The sequence below is a fragment of the Homo sapiens genome, chromosome 7 (assembly GCF_000001405.40).
Source record: "Homo sapiens chromosome 7, GRCh38.p14 Primary Assembly".
In the NCBI taxonomy this organism is placed as follows: domain Eukaryota; kingdom Metazoa; phylum Chordata; class Mammalia; order Primates; family Hominidae; genus Homo; species Homo sapiens.
Window position 1 is genome coordinate 37,843,740 of NC_000007.14, and position 21,605 is coordinate 37,865,344.

General features: G+C 38.6%; 1 protein-coding gene across 1 annotated transcript in view; it reads left to right on the forward strand.

The window, feature by feature from the left end:
- The window catches only part of NME8 (NME/NM23 family member 8), a 51,801-nt gene continuing 35,053 nt past the window's right edge, over nt 4,858–21,605 (forward strand). Inside the window, exons 1-9 of the mRNA NM_016616.5 lie at nt 4,858–4,989; nt 5,085–5,317; nt 6,521–6,560; nt 6,639–6,696; nt 6,890–6,996; nt 13,535–13,606; nt 18,289–18,405; nt 19,657–19,723; nt 20,609–20,682. Coding sequence (NP_057700.3) covers nt 6,528–6,560; nt 6,639–6,696; nt 6,890–6,996; nt 13,535–13,606; nt 18,289–18,405; nt 19,657–19,723; nt 20,609–20,682 — 528 coding nt within the window. The 5' untranslated portion in view covers nt 4,858–4,989; nt 5,085–5,317; nt 6,521–6,527. The remainder of the gene's footprint in view (nt 4,990–5,084; nt 5,318–6,520; nt 6,561–6,638; nt 6,697–6,889; nt 6,997–13,534; nt 13,607–18,288; nt 18,406–19,656; nt 19,724–20,608; nt 20,683–21,605) is intronic.

A 21,605-nucleotide genomic window follows, 5' to 3' on the forward strand; every position in this document is an offset into this window, starting at 1 on the left:
TCTTCCATAAATACAGCAAAAAAGGTAGTAAAAGGTAGAAAATAGTACATAAATTGCATTATGAATCAGTGCCTGGACTGCAGAGGGATGGCTACTGTTTTGGTTTATTGCAACTCGCTGAGTCTCTGAGCCAGAAAGCAGACAGGGAGGTCCAAAGCCTCTTTCTGATTAGTTTCAGGCTGGCAGATTTGCTCGGATATAGAAACTGCACAAAATGTTTATCTCAATCCAAACCCATCAATCTTGCAGTTCCCAACAGGTTGCAGTTGTAATAGGTTCACCCATTCTGTTTTATTATTATGAGTTTTTATTATTCTCAGTGCCTTAATTTCATATACAATGGGAAAAGAGAATATGTAATTTAGTATTATTATGCAGGTGACTTTTAAAATTGGAATTCAGAATCCGTGATTTTGATCTAGTGGAGATAGGAGAAATTTTTTAAAAGTTATATAAAGTTCTCCTGGATAGATGACTAGCTTACTTCTATCTCTAGCTGAAGTGATAAAATTAAAGTAAGTCCCTATACCATTTATTTTCTTTATAGTCTACTTAATTACCTGGACCAGATTTCTTCTTTTTTTAAGCATTGTGTCTTTATTTTATTAAACTTTAAAAATATTTTTCAACTTTTATTTTAGAAATGAGGGGTACACGTGCAGATTTATTGCATGAGAATATTGCATGATGCTGAGGTTTTGGGTACAAATCCCATCACTCAGGTAATGAGCATAGTACTTGGTAAGTAGTTTTTCAACCCACGTCTCCCTCGTTGTCTCCCACTTATAGTAATCTGCAGGTCTATTGTTCCAATATTTATGTCCATGTGTGCTCAGTGTTTAGCTTCCACTTACAAGGAACAACATGCAGTATTTGGTTTTCTGTTCCCACATTAATTCATTTAAGACTATAACCTCTAATTGCATCCATGTTGCTGCAAAGGATATGATTTCATTCTTTTTAATGGCTGCGTAGTATTCCATGGTGTATATGTTTATATACACATTTTCTTTATCCAGTGTACCATTGATGAGCACCTGGATTGATTCCATGTCTTTGCTATTGTGAATAGCTCAGTGATGAACATATGAATGCATTGTCTTTTTGGTAGAGTAATTTACTTTCCTTTGGGTGTATATCCAATAAGATTGCTGGGTCAAATTGTAGCTCTCTCCATTTTAAATTCTTTGAGAAATCACCAGACAGATTTCTTGGATTCAAAAATTAAGAATTTTGTTTATCTTCATTAAAGAGTACATAAATGTGTCAAGAATATCTGCTATTTCCAAATGCACTAGCTTGCTATCTAATTTTAAAGTGTTTATGCAAAAATGGTGATGCTAGGTGCCAGAGAGGATTTCAAGAGGAAGAGAGCAAAGCGAAAACAATTCTACAATCCAGTTCTTATTTTCTGGGTCTTCATATATATTTAGAAGTCATGAGAACACACAAATGAAACAATTAGGCACTAATAAACTTGTGCCCCAAGGAAAGCAAATTGAGCACTATACATAGTGCTGTGTGAGGGTAAGAAAAGGCAGGTCAATATAAGAGAGTACCTTTAATGAATGTTGAAAGATAAAGTCAAATATATTTAAGGAGCAAAACAAACTATTAGGTCCCTTCAAAAGTAACATCTCTCATAGGCTTTTTGGCAGTTATAGCTTACACTCTCCTATAATAAAATATACATTGTCTTGTAACCAACATTTTCAGAGAATTTGCCCTTAAAGTCAATTCTGGGCAGACCCAAGTCAAAGGCTCTTCAGGTTTATGTTTTAAAGCCTCAACATTCAAAGTTTTTGCAATTAGTAGTAATGATGTAAAAAAACAAAAAAACAAAAAAAACTAATTACACCTTCCTTCCATGTATTGGCCACTGGTAAATGTTTGTTCTAATTTGAGAATACATTGAAACTTCTTGCATCAAAGTGTTATATGAAGAATTTGCCTGAAATATTTGCATGAGCATTTCACCATGTGAACTATTGTGTTGAATCAAAGAAGAATCAAAAGTCAGTTTACTAACAGTCTGACTCTGGTGAAATAGCAATTATAGGAAATACATAAAACTTCTTTGAAAATAGCAGATGGTTTTAGACCCTTGAGGAATCGCCACACTGTCTTCCACAATGGTTGAAATAATTACACTCCCACCAACCGTGTAAAAGCGTTCCTATTTCTCCACATCCTCTCCAGCATCTGTTGTTTCCTGACTATTTTTAATGATCGCCATTCTAACTAGTGTGAGATGGTATCTCATTGTGGTTTCGATTTGCATTTCTCTAATGACCAGTGATGAAAAACTTTTGTTCATGTGTTTGTTGGCCTCACAAATATCTTCTTTTGAGAAGTGTCTGTTCATATCCTTTGCCCACTTTTGGATGGGGCTGTTTGTTTTTTTCTTGTAAATTTGTTTAAGTTCCTTGTAGATTCTGGATATTAGCCCTTTGTCAGATAGATGGATTGCAAGAATTTTCCCCCATTCTCTAGGTTGCCTGTTTACTCTGATGATAGTTTCTTTGGCTGTGCAGAGGCTCTTTAATTAGATCCCATTTGTCAATTTTGGCTTTTGTTACCATTTGACCCAGCAATCCCAGTACTGGGTATATATCCAAAGGATTATAAATCATTCTATTATAAAGACACATGCACATGTATGTTTATTGGAGCACTATTCACAATAGCAAAGACTTGGAACCAACCCAAATGCCCATCAACGATAGATTGGATAAAGAAAATGTGGCACATATATACCATGGAATACTATGTAGCCATAAAAAACGACGAGTTCATGTTTTTTGCAGGGACATGGATGAAGCTGGAAACCATCATTCTCAGCAAACTAACACAAGAACAGAAAACCAAACACCGCATGTTCTCACTCATAAGTGGAAGTTAAACAATGAGAACACGTGGGCATAGGGAGGGAAACATCACACACTGGGGCCTGTCAGGGGGTGGGGGGCTAGGGGAGGGATAGCATTAGGGGAAATACCTAATGTAGATGACAGGTTGATGGGTGCAGCAAACCACCATGGTATGTGTATATCTATGTAACAAACCTGCACTTTCTGCACATGTATCACAGAACTTAAAGTATAATAAAAAAAAAAAAAGGAAAGAAAATTGCAGATGGTGAAGTGAAGGAGTACTACATGTCCTGTCTTGATAGGATATGATCCTGGTCAAAAATCCTTCTGTAGGTAGCCGTGCTCATCTATTAGGTCCACTCCAGGGATGAGGATCCCTACAAAAAGGTTCATTGTGTCCCTCTCTACTCTACAGTTGCTTTCTGTATCTCAGCCTGTGGATTAATCAGAAACTATTGTGAAAAATTATTTCCAGATGCTGCAAGTGGGAGGGAGGAAGGAAAGTAAAGAGAAAAAGAACGAAAGAGAAAGAAAGAAAAAGAAGAGGAAGAAGAAGAAGAGGAAGAAGAAGAGGAAGAAGAAGAAGAAGAAGAAGAAGAAGAAGAAGAAGGAGACGGAGGAGACGGAGGAGACGGAGGAGACGGAGGAGGAGGAGGAGAAGGAGGGGAAGAGGAAGGAGAAGAGGAAGGAGAAGAGGAAGGAGAAGGAGAAGAAGAAGAAGACGAAGGAGACGAAGGACACGGAGGAGACGGAGGAGACAGAGGAGACAGAGGAGGAGGAGGAGAAGGAGGGGAAGAGGAAGGAGAAGAGGAAGGAGAAGAGGAAGGAGAAGTGGAAGGAGAAGAGGAAGGAGAAGGAGGAGGAGGAGAAGAAGAGGAAGAGGAAGAGGAAGAAGAAGAAAGAAGAAGAAGAAAGAAGAAGAAGAAGGAGAAAGAAGAAGGAGAAGGAGAAGGAGATGGAGGAGACGGAGGAGGAGGAGAAGGAGGGGAAGAGGAAGGAGAAGAGGAAGGAGAAGGAGAAGGAGAAGAAGAAGAAGAAGAAGGAGATGAAGGAGATGGAGGAGACGGAGGAGACGGAGGAGGAGGAGGAGAAGGAGGGGAAGGGGAAGGAGAAGAGGAAGGAGAAGTGGAAGGAGAAGAGGAAGGAGAAGAGGAAGGAGAAGGAGAAGGAGGAGGAGAAGAAGAGGAAGAGGAAGAAGAAGAAGAAAGAAGGAGAAGAAGAAGAAGAGGAAGAAGAAGAAGAAAGAAGAGGAAGAAGAAGAAAGAAGAGGAAGAGGAAGAGGAAGAAGAGGAAGAGGAAGAAGAAGAGGAAGAAGAAGAAGAGGAAGAGGAGGAAGAAGAGGAGGAGGAGGAGGAGGAAGAGGAGGAAGAGGAGGAGGAGGAGGAAGAGGGAGAGGAAGAAGAGGAAGAGGAAGAGGAAGAAGAAGAGAAAGAAGAAGAAGAAAAAGAAGAAGGAAGAAGAAGAAAGAAGAAGAAGAAAAGAAGAAGAAAAGAAGAAGAAGAAGAAAAGAAGAAGAAAAGAAGAAGGAAGACGAAGAAGAAGAGGAAGAGGAAGAGAGAAGAAAGAAGAAGAAGAAGAAGAAGAAGAGAAGAAGAAGAAGAAGAAGAAGAAGAAGAAGAAGAAGAAGAAGAAGGAAGAAGAAGAAGAAGAAGAAGAAGAAGAAGAAGAAGAACAAGAAGAAGAAGAAGAAGAAGAAGAAGAAGAAGAAGAAGAAGAAGAAGAAGAAGAAGAAGAAGAAGAACAAGAAGAACAAGAAGAACCAAACCAGGGTAGATGAAGACAAAGTTAAAAAGAAAGAAAAGGCTGGTGCTGGCAGAGAGCCTTCTGCTCCGATTTGAGGTGTATGCATTTTATGCTGTAAAGCGTGGCCAGTCACAGGAGGATTCAAAGGCGAGGAGAGATATGATCAAATCTGCACTTGGGAAAGCGCACCTTGGTGCGCATCTGGGGATAGAGGAACGTAGGGATGGGAGGATGGGGGATGGGAGTTTGGGGATGAGGCAGCTGAAGAACAGAGTCTTGTGATGGTGGAACCAGGACTTCGTTGTTCCTTCATTGTGTGGGCAGAAGAGGTGGAGGATTTTAGGCGCCACCTGGTCTTGTCCCCACTGCCCAGGTATAGCTGCTGTCTGGAGCAGGGGCCTCGAGACGCCGCTCAAGTCTCACGGGCAGATGGGTTGGACAAAACATTGCCCCCCTTCTTCTTCCCAGACAGGCAGGGAATCCCTCTTCTTCCTTTTGCTGAATCAGCTGGAGAAGAAAGCCCAGCAGGAGGCCTGCTAGCCTCAGCCTCGGGCCCTACCAGGGTCCTAGGTACTGGAATGGAACTTCGCCGAGGTCACCGCTCAAACGGCCACAACGAGGGAGCCGATTTAGATCCTCTGGGCCTGTTCCTTCCTTTTCTTTAAACGTCCCAGTCTAGCTTAGAGGAGGACCTGTTTTGTGTAAGGCTTGCCGGAGCAACCAGCACCTTTCCTGGAATACAGTCTTGTTTGTGGCTTTTCCTTTGTTGTACGCTAGCGTGCACTATCGCCCGCACGCTGACTGACCCCTGTTCTACACCGCCCCTGATACCACTGAATAGGGAGTTTGAGAAGTTTATGTCGTGCCCCAGAAAACACTAGTGGCCTTGTTCTCAAGATTAAATATCCTTAGAGCAGCCAGATCTGAAGAGGGACCCCAGAAAGATCCACGGGCATGTTCATTTGTTTGCAATTGATAATATAGGAAACACTTTCTAATATTTCAGGAAAACAAAACCTTTAAAAAAACCAGACGACGTGTAACTCCTAACATTCTTACCTTGCTTCAGGACTGTTGGGAGGATAAGATAGTGTGGCAGCTATAAGCATTTAGCATAGAGCCTAGCATACAATAGTCCTTCCATGACATTAGCTTCTCTCTCCCCAGCAAAGATGACACTGCATAATCCAATGTACAGTGGGGAAATTTTTCACTAGTACATTAAGATGTTATTTGCAGTTAGAAAGAATGAATACTGTAATCCCAGCACTCTGGGAGGCTGAGGTGGGAGGATCACGGGTCAGGAGGTTGAGACCATCCTGGTTAACACGGTGAAATTCTGTATCTACTAAAAATACAAAAAAAATTAGCCCGCCGTGGTGGCGGGTGCCTGTAGTCACAGGTACTCTGGAGGCTGAGGCAGGAGAATCGCTTGAACCCAGGAGACGGAGGTTGCAGTGAGCCCAGATTGTGCCACTGCACTCCAGTCTGGCAACAGAGTGAGACTATGTCTCAAAAAAAAAAAAAAAAAAAAAGAACAATGAATAAGACCTAGTATTTGCTAGCACAAACAGGTGACTGCAGTCAAAAAATCTAAATTGTACATTTTAAAATAACTAAAAGAGTATAATTGGATTGTTTGTAACACAAAGGATAAATGCTTGAGGTGATGGATACCCCATTTACCCTGATGTGATTATTATGCATGGCATGCCTGTATCAAAATATCTCAGATTTAAATACACAAATATTTAAGTACATAAATACAGAGATACATAAATATATACACCTACTATGTACCCACAAAAATTAAAAATTGTTTTAAAAGATGTTATTTGCATGCATAAAGAAAATGTTATTTAAATTTCCTACTTAAAAATTTTTCTTTCTTTTTCCTATGATAGTAGATAAATGGCAAGCAAAAAACGAGAAGTCCAGTTACAGGTGGGTCTGACATATCAACAATTCTTTATCTGGTGCACTAGTGCTTGAATACCTTTTACAGTGCCTTCCACTTTGCAGACAGTCATCAATAATCAAAGCCTGTGGGATGAGATGTTGCAGAACAAAGGCTTAACAGGTATAAGGACTCCCCGGCTGTCTGGCCACCTGGGGTTTGACCCGGAGCTCCTCCTGGCACCCTGTCCCTCTAGAGTCCCCACTTTGACCAAGAAATCCTGCAGTGCCTTTGCCCTGGCCATGGCTCCAGATTGGGATAACTGCTATCCTAGATTGGTAGACTTTGTTATTTCATAAATATCATCATCTTCTAGTGATTGATGTTTACCAAGCCTGGTGTGGACCTTGCAGAGCAATGCAACCTTTATTCAGAAAATTGAAAAATGAACTGAACGAAGACGAAATTCTGCATTTTGCTGTCGTAAGAATTTTGTTTTCATTAAACCACTGTTTTCACATTATATTAAGTTTTTAAGTATCCTCTAATACTTTAAGTATTGTCTTAATTTAAACAACCTGTCAGTTCTTCAAAATAGATAGTCTTTACTTGGCAGTTTTACTATATATTTAATTCTACTAGATCTGAGAATGAATATGATTTTTATCCCATTCTTATAACGTCGAGGCTATTTACCATGACTGTGAAAGTCAGAAAAGTGTAATAATGGACACATCTATTGTTCTGTTTCCTTTCACCTGACCACATGTTCAGTGTGTGTCCTTTAGAATAAGGGCTACAAAAGCTGTTTACTGGGTATCATTGAGTAGTGCCCTGGCATTAACCCAGTTACCATATTTTCCAGTGGCAATGATTTTTCCTCATTTATTTGCTACCTACTTGCAATAAGGGATTAAAATATTATAGCCAAACACATTTTACTGAATTGTACTGTTTTTTCAATCTATTCACATAAAATGATCAACTAATTAGAATTTCGTTGTCCAACATGGTAGCTACTAGGCATAAGTGACTATGGAGCTCTTGCAATGTAGCTGGTCCAACTGAGGAGCTCAATTTTTAATTTTAATGAATTTAAATCTGGATTTTCAAACTGATACTCCATTGAGTTATTGTAAAACTTTTAAAATCTGGGATAACTTGAGTATGTGAATCTACTACTTAACTGTAAATGTTATTAAAGCTAATTAAGGATTAATTATTTCTGATTAACATTTAGCATATGAATTAAGACATACTCAAGTGTAAGAGACACATTAGATTTTAAAAATTTAATATGGAAAAAGAAAGTGAAATATGCCATCAATAATTTTATACATTGATTACATGTTGAAATGATAATATTTTGGATGTATCGGGTTAAGTAAAATTTATTATCACATTATTTTCACCTTTTTTTGTTTTTAAATGTCCCTACTGGAGAATTTATATGTGTGGCTTATATAATATATTTATATTATATAGAAAAGCTCCCAAACCAACTAGACTTAAGATACAGGAGCAGATAACAGATGATAACAGATCTTTACTCCTTATCTCTGAAATACATAGTTCCTAATGCAGACATGCAACCACAACCCACTCATGTTCTCCCAGTTACAGGTCTTTCATGGCCCCTTTCAACCCAAACATTGGAATGGGTTTGCCTACTGACCTTGTATTTCACTATCCATCCCCTTCTTTAAATGCATTTTCCATAGGACTTATTTTCCTTAGTTCAAGATGATGAATAAGCAGTTTAAAGCCTAGACACTCACCTCTTATTATTTTTCTATTCAAGAGAGTAAGTGGCTGTCTACAGTAGTTAAATCCTGTTGTCCTGGTGAAGGAATTGACTTTTTTTTTTTGTCTTCTGAAATAAGGACTTTGTAAGGTTTTCATTCCTTTAATTTTTTAAAAAATGTCTTTATATAGATGTTATTTTTAGAGCAGTTTTAGGCTCATAGCAAAATTTACCAGGAAGTAAAGAGTTCTCATATATCCCCTATCCCCACACTCTCATAGCCTTTTCCACCATCAAAATCCCACATCAGAGTGGTACATTGTTACAACGGATTAGCCTACACTGGCACATCATTATTTACCAAAAGCCGTAGTTTACATTAAAGTTCATTCTCGGTGTTGTACATTTTAGGGAGTTTAACAAATGTGTAATGACATGTACTTACTATATTATGGCATCATATAGTATAGTTTCATTCCCAGCAAAATCCTCTGTAATCTGTTCATCTCTCCCTACCTCATAACCTCTGGCAACCACCAATCTTTTGACTACCTCCATAGTTTTCCCTTTTCCAGAATGTCATATAGTTAGAATCACATAGTGTGGAGCCTTTTCAGATTGGCTTCTTTTACTTAGTGATATGCGCCATGTCTTTTAATGATTTGATAGCTCATTTCTTTTTAGTGTCAAATAATACTTCATTATCTGGATATACCAGGGTTTATTTATCCATTCACCTGCTGAAGAACATCTTGGTTGCTTCCAACTTTTAGCAGTTAGGAAAAGGCTGCTATAAGCATCCATGCTTAGGTTTTTGTATGAACATACTACACTTTCAACTCATTTGGGTAAATACCAAGGAGTAAGATTGCTGGATCATGTGGTAATGATATGTTTTATTTTGTAAGAAACCACCAAATCTTCCTAAGCAGCTGTACCATTTTGCATTCTTACCAACAATGAATGAGAGTTTCTGTTGGTCCACATTCTCACCAGCATCTGTTCTCTGGATTTTGGTCATCCTAATAAGTGTGTAGTGGAATCACTTTGTAGTTTTAGTTTGCGTTTCCCAAGATTATGTGAGGTGGAGCATCTTTATATATACTTATTTGCCATCTGTATATCTTCTTTGAGGAGGTGTCTGCTAAGGATTTTGGCTTATTTTTTTAATTGGGTTGTTTGTTCTCTTATTGTTGAGTTTCAAGTATTCTGTGTATTTTGAATAACAGTCTTTTATCAGGTATTACTTTTGCAAATAGTTTATCCCAGTCTGTGGCTGGTTTTTTCATTCTCTTGTCATTGTAGTTTTTTTAAAGACGAGATTCTGTAACAACCTGTTTCACTCTGGAGAATCACAACCACCAGAAAGGAGCTAGGAAATTATTCTAGACTTGATTCTTCACAGAGAAGAAAAATCAAGTTAGAAGACCAGAGAATAGAGCCTAAAGGAGATTGCCACATGCAGTTGGAAAGGGGTTGATAGAAGTTAAAATACAGTATCACAAGTGTCTAACAGCTGACAGATGGATCACAGGGAATTGAGGATCAGGAAATTCTTGTGAATCCTGGCAGTTGGCATTAGGAAAGTGGCAGTAGACGTTCACATAGACTAGGGGTTCCAGATTCTGGTGACCTGCCCATAAAGGTGAAAGAAAATTATATCTCCAAACCTCCATTGTGAGCAGCAATGGAGGGATGCCCTCTGCCGGACATATTGTTTTCTGCTGTTAATCAAGGAAGAACTTGAACATGTAGGTCCAAAATTAAAATGTATGAGGTTATTTCCTATTAAAATTGCCCTGAGCTGAATGGTCAGTATACAATTTTTTTCTGCTGTGTGCCTTTTTAAAAGAGGAACATTAAATATTTTATATATATAGAGAGAGGCATATAAAAATTTAGTTAATAGTGTTTATTATAGTTACTGTTATATTATTATTAAATTATTTAATCCTTAATAATTTATGTATTATAATATAAACATTATAATTATAATACCTGAATTACTTCTAAATAGAGTTGACCCTTACCAATGCTGGAGTTAGGGGTGCTAACCCCCCACGTAGTAAAAAATTCATATATGACTTTTGACTCCACCAAAAGCTTAACTACTAATAACCTACTGTTGACTGGAAACCTTATGGGTAACATAAACAGTCGATTGATACATATTCTGTATGTTATGTGTATTATATACTATATTCTTGCAATAAAGTAAGCTAGAGGAAAGAAAATAGTATTAAGAAAATTATAAGGAAAACAAAATATATTTACTATGCATTAAGTGGAAGTGGATTACCATAAAATTCTTCATCCTCATCATCTTAACATTGAGTAGGTTGAGGAGGAGACGAAGGAAGAGGAGTTGGTATTGACGTCTCAGGGGTGGCAGAAGCAGAAGAGGTGGAGGAAGTGGAAGGGGAGGCAGGAGAAGCAGGCATAGTGGATGTAATTTTATGGAAATACGTGGTAATTTCTGTCTGACGTTTTTGCTTTTTCATTGCTCTAAAAATGTTTCTATGTGGTACCAATCCTTCTTCCACCATTTGCTTTGGTTTCAGTGCCCATATCATAGAAGGGTCCATGTCATAAATGAAGTCAAAAGCAGTCTTGAATAACTGGAATTCTTCTGCCAGATGTTCTAATGTCAGTTTGTTTTCTGGCACTGGCTCTTCTACATCTTCTCCCTCATCGTCTGGCACTGCTTTAGAGGCACTCATCTCTACCAATTTGTCTTCTGTTAATTCCTCTGGTGTGGTGTCTCTCAGCTCTTGGATTTCTCCAACATCCATATCTTGAAACCTTTCACCCCCCACCTTTTTGCCACATACACAATCTCTTTTATGACTTCCTTAATTGGCTCTGTCATAAATCCCATGAAGTCATGCACAACATCTGGACACAATTTTCTCCAGCAGGAATTTATTAATTTGTGCTTGATAGCTTTTGCAGCTTTTTCTATAACAATGATGGCATCTTCAATGGTGCAATTCTCCCAGACTTTAATGATGTTCTATCAGGGTTCTCTTCCATAGCACTGACATTTTTTCCATAGAGTACCACGTGTAATGAGCCTTCCAGGTCCTTATGAGCCCCTGATCTAGAGGCTGAATTATAGATGTTGTGTTTGGAGACAAGTAGATCATTTTGAGACCTTTGATGTCGACCTCATGGGATTCTCAGTGACCAGGGGCATTTTCCAATATCAAAGAACTTTAAAAACAGTCTCTCACTGGCAAGGTACTTCCTGACACCAGGGACAAAGCACTGATGGAACCAATCCAGAATAAAAGGTTCTCATTGTCCAGGATTTCTTGTACAACTGAAAGACTGGCAGCTGGTGTTATCTTTTCCTTTCAAGGATTGGGGGTTAGCAGTTTTATTGAGAAAGATAGCCCTGATCATAAACCCAACTGCAATGCATAAAATGGTTGAGTTAGCCTATCTCTTCTTCCTTAAGTCTTGGTGCTCACTTCTCTTCTTTACTAAATAACGAACTTTGCGGCATTCCCCTCCCCCCACCAAATCCCAAGTTAGGGCACTTTCATCTGCATTAAAAACCTGTTCAGGTAGACATCTTTTCTCCTTAATTATTTTCTTAAAGGCATCTGGAAACTTTTCTGCTGTCTCTTGGTCAGCAGCAGCTGCTTCTCCTGATATGTTAATATTTTTTAACCTTTTCAAAAATTATCAAACCATCCTTTGCAGGCATTAAATTCTCCAGCTTTAGATCCCTCGCTTACTTTTGCTTTAAGTTGTCATATGATAACTTTGCTTTTTTGGGAATCATATTAGAGTCTATAGGCATGCCTTTCTTATAGTAATCCTGCACCTGCATAAAAGCTGCATTTTCAGTGTGAGATAAAAAGGTATTTCAGAAAAAGTGCAAGATCTATATGCCTGCTGGCACAGCTGCAGCAATGGCTCAATGAACTTCCTTTAAAAAAAAAAACCCAATTACTCTTAGACTGGATTCTTTTATCTTGAAATGGTGGGCAACTTCAGCTGCAGACCTCAATCTAGGGTACCTATCAGGCAAGTCAGCTCTTTCTTGTAATGTCATGATTTTTCTCAGCTTTTTAGCAGCACTTGCAACATCCCTAGTAGCACTTTATCTGGATCTCAAGGTGTTAGTCAAGGTTTATGGTATTGCACTGAACACAATGAAAATTCCACTTTGAAAAGCATTGCCTTAGATTACAAAAACCAACTGTTATAAACTGAATGTTTGCCATCAAATTTCATACGTTAAAATCCTAATCTCCAATGTGGTGATATTTGGAGATGGAGACTTTAGAAGGTAATTAGAGTAAAATCAAAGCTTTTATTTAAATAAAGGAAGAGACATATGATTTCTTCCAGGTGAGGACATTAGTGGAGAAGAGGGCCTTCACTTCTGGCACCCAGACTGTGCTGGCACCCTAATCTGAGACTTCCAGCCTCCAGAACTATGAGAAATAAATGATTGTTGTTCAGCCACCCAGTCAATAGCAATTTGCTATTGCAGCCCAAACTGACTAAGACACCAACTCTTACAGAAGACCCTACCAAACGATCTCATTCTGGCAGCTGGACCAATGGATACTATGTTAATATGGAAGAAGACACTATTATTGAATGTATAGTTGTTCATAATTAATTTGGAACAACTTGAAATTTATGAGAAAATATTAAGAAAATTACAGACATAAAATTCAAAATCTTTAAAAGTTGACTACTAATTTATTCAAGGAATGTTTAGTAAACCTCTTTTAATGTATGGCCCTATGACTGACAGAGGGAGATGAGATACAAACGTGGATAGGAAACATACTATCTCTGTGCACACAACTCTCCTTCTAACAGAGCAGGTGTAACAGGCCCACACGTGCCTGTAGTAGAATATTGAAAGGGACATAGGTGCCTTGGGAGAGGGGCAGTAACGTGCTGTGCAGAACGAGAGATGATTTACAGCAAAAGGAAGTGAGACAGAATTGGAGGAAGGATAGTTGAACAGGGACAGTAAAAGAAGGGCAGGACCAGGGAGGAAAAGATGAGTAAATAAGTTTGGCTAAAGGTTGGTTAATGTAAAGGGAAACGGTGCGGAAAGGTTAAGGCCAAATGACGTAGGGCTTGAATCGCCAGTATGTGCAGTTTGATCCCTAAAACCACTAAGGCATACCGAATGTTGCAGTAAACCTAAAAATTATATATATCTCTGCATTGTTTCAACATAGTGTATCAAATTACTTGAATATAGTTTTATTTATTATTATATGAAATGTTTACTTTTTCCAGGCAGAAGCTGACAACATTGTGACTTTGCAGCCATTTAGAGATAAATGTGAACCTGTTTTTCTCTTTAGTGTTGTAAGTATATTTACTTTCTCAATTGCATTATCAGATTCCAGTTTGCAGTTAAGAACAAGTAACATTGTAAAATTACCATGAAATTGTTTGCCAATGACAGTAATTACACAATGTTTGCCTTATCTTTTCTTGACTATTTATAAATTTTATAATTTGGCTGCTAGGAGCTTATTATGGATTGAAGGGATTAGATGATGACACACTGGATTCATCAGGGAAAGGAAAAGTAAGATGGCGTTTATCTTTACTAAGGAAATGATCGGAGATTTGCACAATAAATTTTTTACAGGAGTAAAACCTTGGAAATTTCATAGATACCTAGCAAGAGAGAACTGGTTATAAACATTCATGCATATCCATACAAGAAAGCATCTGTATGATCAGTCTTTTGTAATACACATTACTCTTATCTCTATATTTATAAAGAAGAAAGCAAGTGGATCCACCAAAATGTTATAGCAGTTTTCTATGTGTGAGGAACAGGTGACTAATTTAAGTTTTATTATTCATACTATTCTATATTTTCCACATATTCTGTGAGGAACACACAACTTTAATAATCAGACAGAGGCCAGGCATAGTGGCTAACGCCTGTAATCTCAGCACTTTGGGAGGCTGAGGTGGGAGGATTGCTTGAGGCCAGGAATTCAAGATCAACCTGGCCAACATAGGGAGACCACATCTCCATTTTCAAAAATAAGTAATAATAAAATAAATATAAAATATAAATGAATAATTAGAAAGACATAAATAGTGCTATTTTCTAAAAGCAGAGTGTACAGTTAGTGCTAAATTGTGTGACACAGGGTATAGCTGCTACAGAGTTCGAGAACTGAGACAGAAGAAAGAAAGCCTTCACGGAGGAGATAGACAGGACTTGGACTGTTCCTCCACTGTGGATATTTATTTTTGATATTAGAAATACTCATTAAAAACACATCTTGGATATAACTTTTTTCTGCTATTAAACAATATTCTTGCAACCCTTTCAAAGAGTTGAATCGCTGGGTTAATGATTAAAAAATGCATTGAATGGTAAAAAATGCATTGTAGATCTCCTCTAAGTTGGATGTTTAGAATTCAACGATTTAGGTGAGGGGTCAGCTAACGTTGTTTTTGTTGTTGTTGTTGTTTTGTTTTGTTTTTTGTAAAGGGCCAGGGAGTGAATAATTTCAGCATGATTAAAATACAGTCTCTGGACTGGGTTGAGGTTTGCTGACTCCTAAACTAGATGTCATTACACTCATGAGGGGACCAGAATGAATAACAACACAGAGGCAGAATGGGCTTGGGGGGCTCATGGAACAATGAGGAGGCTTTAGCTGCACGTAGTGGGTAGGTGCATGGGAATGAGAGAAAAGATTGGGCAGGTGGGTCACATTGTAGAGGCTGGAGCTCTGGGATAGTCGATAATATAGTTTGGATATTTGTTTCCTCCAAATCTCATGCAGAAATGTGACCTCCAGTGTTGGAGGTGGGGCCTAGTGGGAGGTGTTTGGGTCATTGGGGCGGATGCCTCATAAATGGCTTGGTGCCCTCCCTACAGTAATGAGTGAGTTCTCCCTCTATTAGTTCATGCAGGAGCTAGTTACTTAAAGAGCTTGGCACTGTCTCACCTTTCTCTCACTCCTTCTCTCTCCACATGACATGCTGTCTCCCTTTCCCTTCCTCCATGAGAACAAGCTTCCTGAGGCCTCACCAGAAGCAGATGCTGGTGCCATGTTTGTACAGTCTGCAAAAGTTTGAGCCAAATAAATTTTTCTTTACGAAGTTCCCAGCTTCGTGTACTCCTTGATAACAACACAAAACAGACTAATCGGGCCATCACCCCGACCGCTAGTCCAGTCTGACCAGTAGACCCAGCCCCACTCTCCTTAAGTGTACCATCCAATCCATGTTCTCTAATGCCTGCAATCAGTGCCCAGAGTTTAAGTCCACCCTTCCTCATAGCCATGTTTCATCCATCCTTCTAATGCTTATTCTTTGTCACACCCAGTTCTCCAACTCTTCCCCTATCTCCCAAACCTTTCCACTCTATGACATCTGGAATTAAAATGACTTCCTAAGATTTTTGACCATGGCTCTGAGCTTTTGTCTCGCTTCCTTGGCTTACCTTAGTTCTACCTTCTTCCTTTGGACACTCTCTCCACAGCCCAGAAGTGATAACTGTTTATTTCAGAATGTGAAGTATAGTTGGTGTTTGCTTTACTTCTTAGTTCTTCAATAACTTTCTTTTCTTTGCTATTACTAGAGGTCTGTTTCACGTGGCTAAATCTCCAATTCCCCCATCTCACTCCTGTCATTTACCGACCTTCAGATCAGGTCTATTGATGACTGAAGTCTTTGGCGTGTGGTTTAAAGTCTTACTCTCAATCCTGAGTCCTGCCATCACCTTGAGGACTTTAGTATCCACACTGACAACCCGCCCAATATCCTGGCCTTTCAATTCTTGACCTCCTGGCTGCTAATAAACTTTTCTTCCAATAAACTTCATCGAATCACTCCTGCAATCATGTCTCAGACTGCCCATTGCTCCACATCCATAATCATTAATTTAAGAATAGAATTCTGTGATCACAAAAACACCATCAAGTCCAATGCTCATTTTATTCAGATATTCCCTCAATGTCCCTTTGTACGGGTCAGCATTTTTAGCTGACAACAGATTCATTCCAGCTAGTCTCAGCAGAAGCCTTCCTCAAGAGATATTAGATAATTCACAGAATTGTTGAAAGATACTTTTTAGTTGGAAATGGTAACTAGAGTTTCAGGTTTCATTTAAACCTTACTCAACTGTATCTTTCTCATTGGCTTTTGAATATGATTAAGTCTTTTCAATTTAAAAAATATATAATACTTCTTTCTGATAGCATATCCCTCTCTAGCCACCATCCATTTCTTGTCTTCACCTCACAGCTAAGTTGGTCAGAAGACTTTTTATATTTAATTTTACTTCTTTTCTTTTCATCCCATTAACTCCTCAATCCATTCTACCTGAGCTCTGATTATTCCACCAAAATTGCTGTTGCTAATGTATCCAAGTACCAGCCTGTACTAAGTATAATGGATATTGTTAGGTATTCATCATTTGTACCTCTTAAATGGTTTGAATATGGTGACCATGCCCTCCTTTTTAAAATATTTGCTTCTTTTGGCTTATGTGACTTGGTTTTCCTTTCACCTTCCTGGATGCCACTTCCCTCTGTTCCTTTGGCAAATTCACCCTTCTTTATTCCACGATTAAATATTGACTTTATCAGGCTGTACGCTCTCCTTAGAAAATTTCCTCTACACACAGTTTCAATCACCACCATCTGTATATCAATAAATCACGTTTACATCTTCAGCTGAATGCTATGCTTTCCACTCGCAGCATTTCCAGTTGGGGTCTAGGCATCTCCTATTGGCTTTCTCAAAATGCATCTCACAGCAAACTCATTCAATACCAGATCTTCCTCCCCACAAAACACAGTCCCCTTCTATTGTCTCTGAATTTGGCATATAATATGATAACTTATAATTTATCCAGTTTTCAAGTGAGAAACAGAAGAGTCACCTTGTGACATCTCTTTACATCACATTCTATCCAAGTCATACCTTGGACCTGTAAATTTTACTGCCCAGGTCTCTGTCACACTCATCTACCTCTTTCCATCCTTTCCATCTCCACCACCGTCATCTCTCCACCTCCACCTCTAGCATAGCTCCTAACTTGTCTGCGAATATTTTCTTTTGCTCCCCCCAGCATTTTTTCCACACAGTAGGTGAAATAATTTTTACAAACAATTTTAATCATGGTCATGGCCTCTGCTTAAACATTCTGACTGCACTTAGGATGAAGACTGAATCCCTGGCCCACCAGGCTGCGCACAGTTTGGCTTCTCCTGGTTGCTGGGCTTCAACTCACACCAGGCTCCCCCTCACTTTGTCACCTGGCCTTGTCACTTGCCATCTTCCCTTCCAGCTTTAGAACCCTTATGTCTGTTATTCCTTTTGCTCTTTCTTCTCCTTTTTGCCCAATTAGCTCTTACCCGTCTTTCATATTTTAAACCAAGAATCACTTCCTGACATTGAGAAGTACCTTTCGTGATCTCTTTGACCAAAACCCATTCTTATAGGAGCTCCAAGGGCTTTGCACCACTCTTGGTAGCACCTACTAAGGTTGCTGTTTCACATGTTTGTGTTTTTATGTAGGGCTTTTTAAAAAAAACCTAATTAGGTCAGGTACCAGATCCATTATTTTATACCATTGTGCCTGGTACGGCACCAGTAAACAGATGCTTAGTAAACAGGTGTTAAAAGATGAGTGAGTGAAAGGGGCATGGTGTCAAAAATAACTAGGGAGGATGTCATTGGGAGGCCTATCCAGAATTGTTCAACTTTAAAGCAAGGATGCCTCAGGAGAGATTGCATCAGGTGAGAGCTCCTGCAGGGGGATGACTTGCTGCAAGGTGCTGGAGGACATGCAAATTGGAGGTAGAACTCAAAGAGCTGAGTTTATCAAGTCAAGAACATTCACAGTATTAAGACCTTACTGTAAAACGTTAATTACCATAGCTAAAAGAGGATTCATGAGGATGAGAGTAGGGTAGAAGGGAGGGATGACTTAGTCCAGTTTAAGTGTTAGTTCTTGGTGTGTTCTCCAAATGAAAGTTCCCCTCCTGTTTTCATTTCCCTTATAGAATGGCAAAATTATCGAAAAGATTCAGGGTGCAAATGCACCGCTTGTTAATAAAAAAGTTATTAATTTGATCGATGAGGAGAGAAAAATTGCAGCAGGTGAAATGGCTCGACCTCAGGTAATACTTTGGATTAACAACAGTTTGAAGACAAGCTTATCATTTAGAGTGAAATAGAACAAAATGCACTACTGGTGCTAGGTACCTCTAAAGGCTTTGAGTACTTTATGTCTTTTAATTTTAAAAAAGTACATTACCTTTTATTTGATGTTATCCTAAGTTGTTTAACCTAATTTTGTAACTATCCAGGTGTGTAAATGGTGCAACTTTTCTGGGAAGCATTTTGGCAATGCATGTGTATATATATTTATATACATAAAAATGAAACCTTTCGGATAGTTCACAGAATCACAGAAGCATATTCATGGCTTCCCTGAAAGTTAGGAACCTTTGTCCTTCTGGTACTTTGCTCTTTTTTTTTGTTTTTAAATTGACTTTATAAGTGTAAGTATATAGCAATTATTTATTTGAAATTTGTAAGAACATAAAAGCTATTTGGATGAATTAAAAAATCTGGTACTTTGCTCTTTAATAGGATATTGATTATTGGTTTGAGAAATATTTTTTTTTTAGTTAAGGAAATATCGTTTTGTTCCAAATTTGCTGAGAGTAATGGTTAAGAACAGATCTTCACACTTATCAAATGCCCTTTTGATATTTAACATGATTATCATGTGTTTGCAGTTTTCTTATTTATTAATTTCTGCTTTGTTCTTATTTTATCTCCCATGCTCTTATTAAATTTTAAGGTTTGGCTGGGTGCGGTAGCTCACGCCTGTAATCCCAGCACTTCGGGAGGCCAAGGAGGGCAGATCACTTGAGGTCAGGAGATGGAGACCAGCCTGGCCAACATGGTGAAACACCGTCTCTACTAAAAATACAAAAATTAGCCGGGCATGGTGGCAGGTGCCTGTAATCCCAGCTATTCGGGAGACTGAGGCAGGAGAATCGCTTGAACCCAGGAGGCAGAGATTGCAGTGAGCCAAAATAGCACCACTGCACTCCAGCCTGGGTGACAGAGCAAGACTCCTACTCAAAAAAAATTTAAAAAAAATTTAAAAAATTAAGGTTTGCTACCCTTTTCATACTGCACATATGCATTATTCCTGCCCCTTCCATTTTAAAACATCCCTTATTTTATTTAAGTGGAAAGCTGGAGACAGTAATGTTAGATAAGTTCAGGAACTCTTCCACTTTACTTTCTATTTCTTAGACTATAAATATTTACTAGATACAAAATTTCTAAAAACCCACTCACTATCATATTAAAACATAACTGTGTTATCTTTGCATTGCATTTCTTTTTCATAGTATCCTGAAATTCCATTAGTAGACTCAGATTCAGAAGTTAGTGAAGAATCACCATGTGAAAGTGTTCGTAAGTAAATTTACTTCAAAGTAATCCAAGGGTTTTCTGTACGTGGGCGGTCATCACAGCATCACTTGTTTCAGCAAAACACTGGTAACAAATCCATGTTTATTAAGGAGGAATTATTCAGATAAATGATGATTTGGGCCTTGCAAGACTCAGCTATTAAAAAGCACCTTCTTTTCCTCACTCGCCTTACCTTTGGTTCTGGGCCTGGAGCCTTTCAGAGGTTACCCTGTACAATGGATTCCTGTCTCCTGTGACTTATCTGGACAGCAGCTTCCTATTTCATCCTTCATCATCTTCCAAATATTTGTGATGATAATTTCTTCCTTGATGACCCATACTCTTGGTTTACTTTGCAGTTAACAATTTCACGCCTTCACTAGATTATCTGCATTGGGGTAGTGGGGTGTATGTGTTCATACTCTGGAGGGAGCAGAGGCAAACAGCCATAACCAAATGAGTTATCTTGCACTAAAAGCTCATTATAAGAATGTCGATACATTCACAGATGAATCTGTCGGTGATGTTTACTTGCATGATTCACAGTTAAAACTTCACTTACTGGTAGTACTGTGCTGGATGGATCCTGTGTGTGATTCTTACGCATGGGAATTGCATTCAAACCACCAGGGCCTACCTACTCAATTTTTGTTTCCTCTGGATTAAAAACTCTTGTAAATGTTTCCCCTGCATGCAAATATAGGAACTGCCATTTGATTCTAAGTAGGAACCCTCTGGTAGTTGAAATGCCGTAGTAAGATACACAGCTATCAATGGGCAACAATTAACTGATCATTAGAAATTTACATTGCTAATTGCCAGATCCTTCATTATCCAGACTTCGTGCCAAGAAAATGAAATTCTGTCTTTTTCTAAATTTTTTTCCAGAGGAATTATACAGTATTGCTATTATCAAACCGGATGCTGTGATTAGTAAAAAAGTTCTAGAAATTAAAAGAAAAGTAAGTAATATTTTCCAACTATGATTAAATTAATTGCAAAATAACAACCTCTTAATCGTCAGTTCAAAGACAAGCGTACCATTTAGAGTGAAATAGAACAAAATGCACTACTGGTGCTAGGTACCTCTAGAGGCTTTGAGTACTTTATGTCTTTACAAGGCTCGATCTATTCATGCATCCTTCTGTAAATGATCCTACTCTACCAGCATCCTATGTAAATTTTAAAAAATTATAGTTCTTATACTAGATTGTATATTAGTCTGTCTTCATGCTGCTGATAAAGATGTATCTGAGACTGGGCAATTTACAAAAGAGAGAGGTTTATTGGACTTACAGTTCCACATGGCTGGGGAGGCATCACAATCATGGCAGAAGGCAAGGAGGAGCAAGTCACATCTTACGTGGATGGCAGCAGGCAAAGAGAACTTGTGCAAGAAATCTTCCATTTTTAAAGCCATCAGATCTCATGAGACTCATTCACTATCATGAGAACAGTGCAGGAAAGACTAGCCCCCATAATTCAATCACCTCCCACTGGATTCCTCCCACAACACATGGGAATTGTGGGAGTTTAAAATTCAAGGTGAGATTTCGATAGGGACAGAGCCAAACCATATCATTCTGCTCCTGGCCCCTACCAAATGTCATGTTCTCACATTTCAAAAACGAATCATGGTTTCTCAATAGTCCCCCAAAGTCTTAACTCATTTCAGCATTAACTCAAAAGTTCACAGTTCAGCATCTCATCTGAGACAAGGCAAGTCCCTTCTGCCTATGAGCCAGTTAGATCAAAAGCAAGTTAGTTACTTCCTAGATACAATAGGGGTGCAGGTATTGGGTAAATACAGCCATTCCAAGTGGGAGAAATTGGCCAAAATGAAGGGGCTACAGGCCCCAAGCAAGTCTGAAATCCAGCAGAGCAG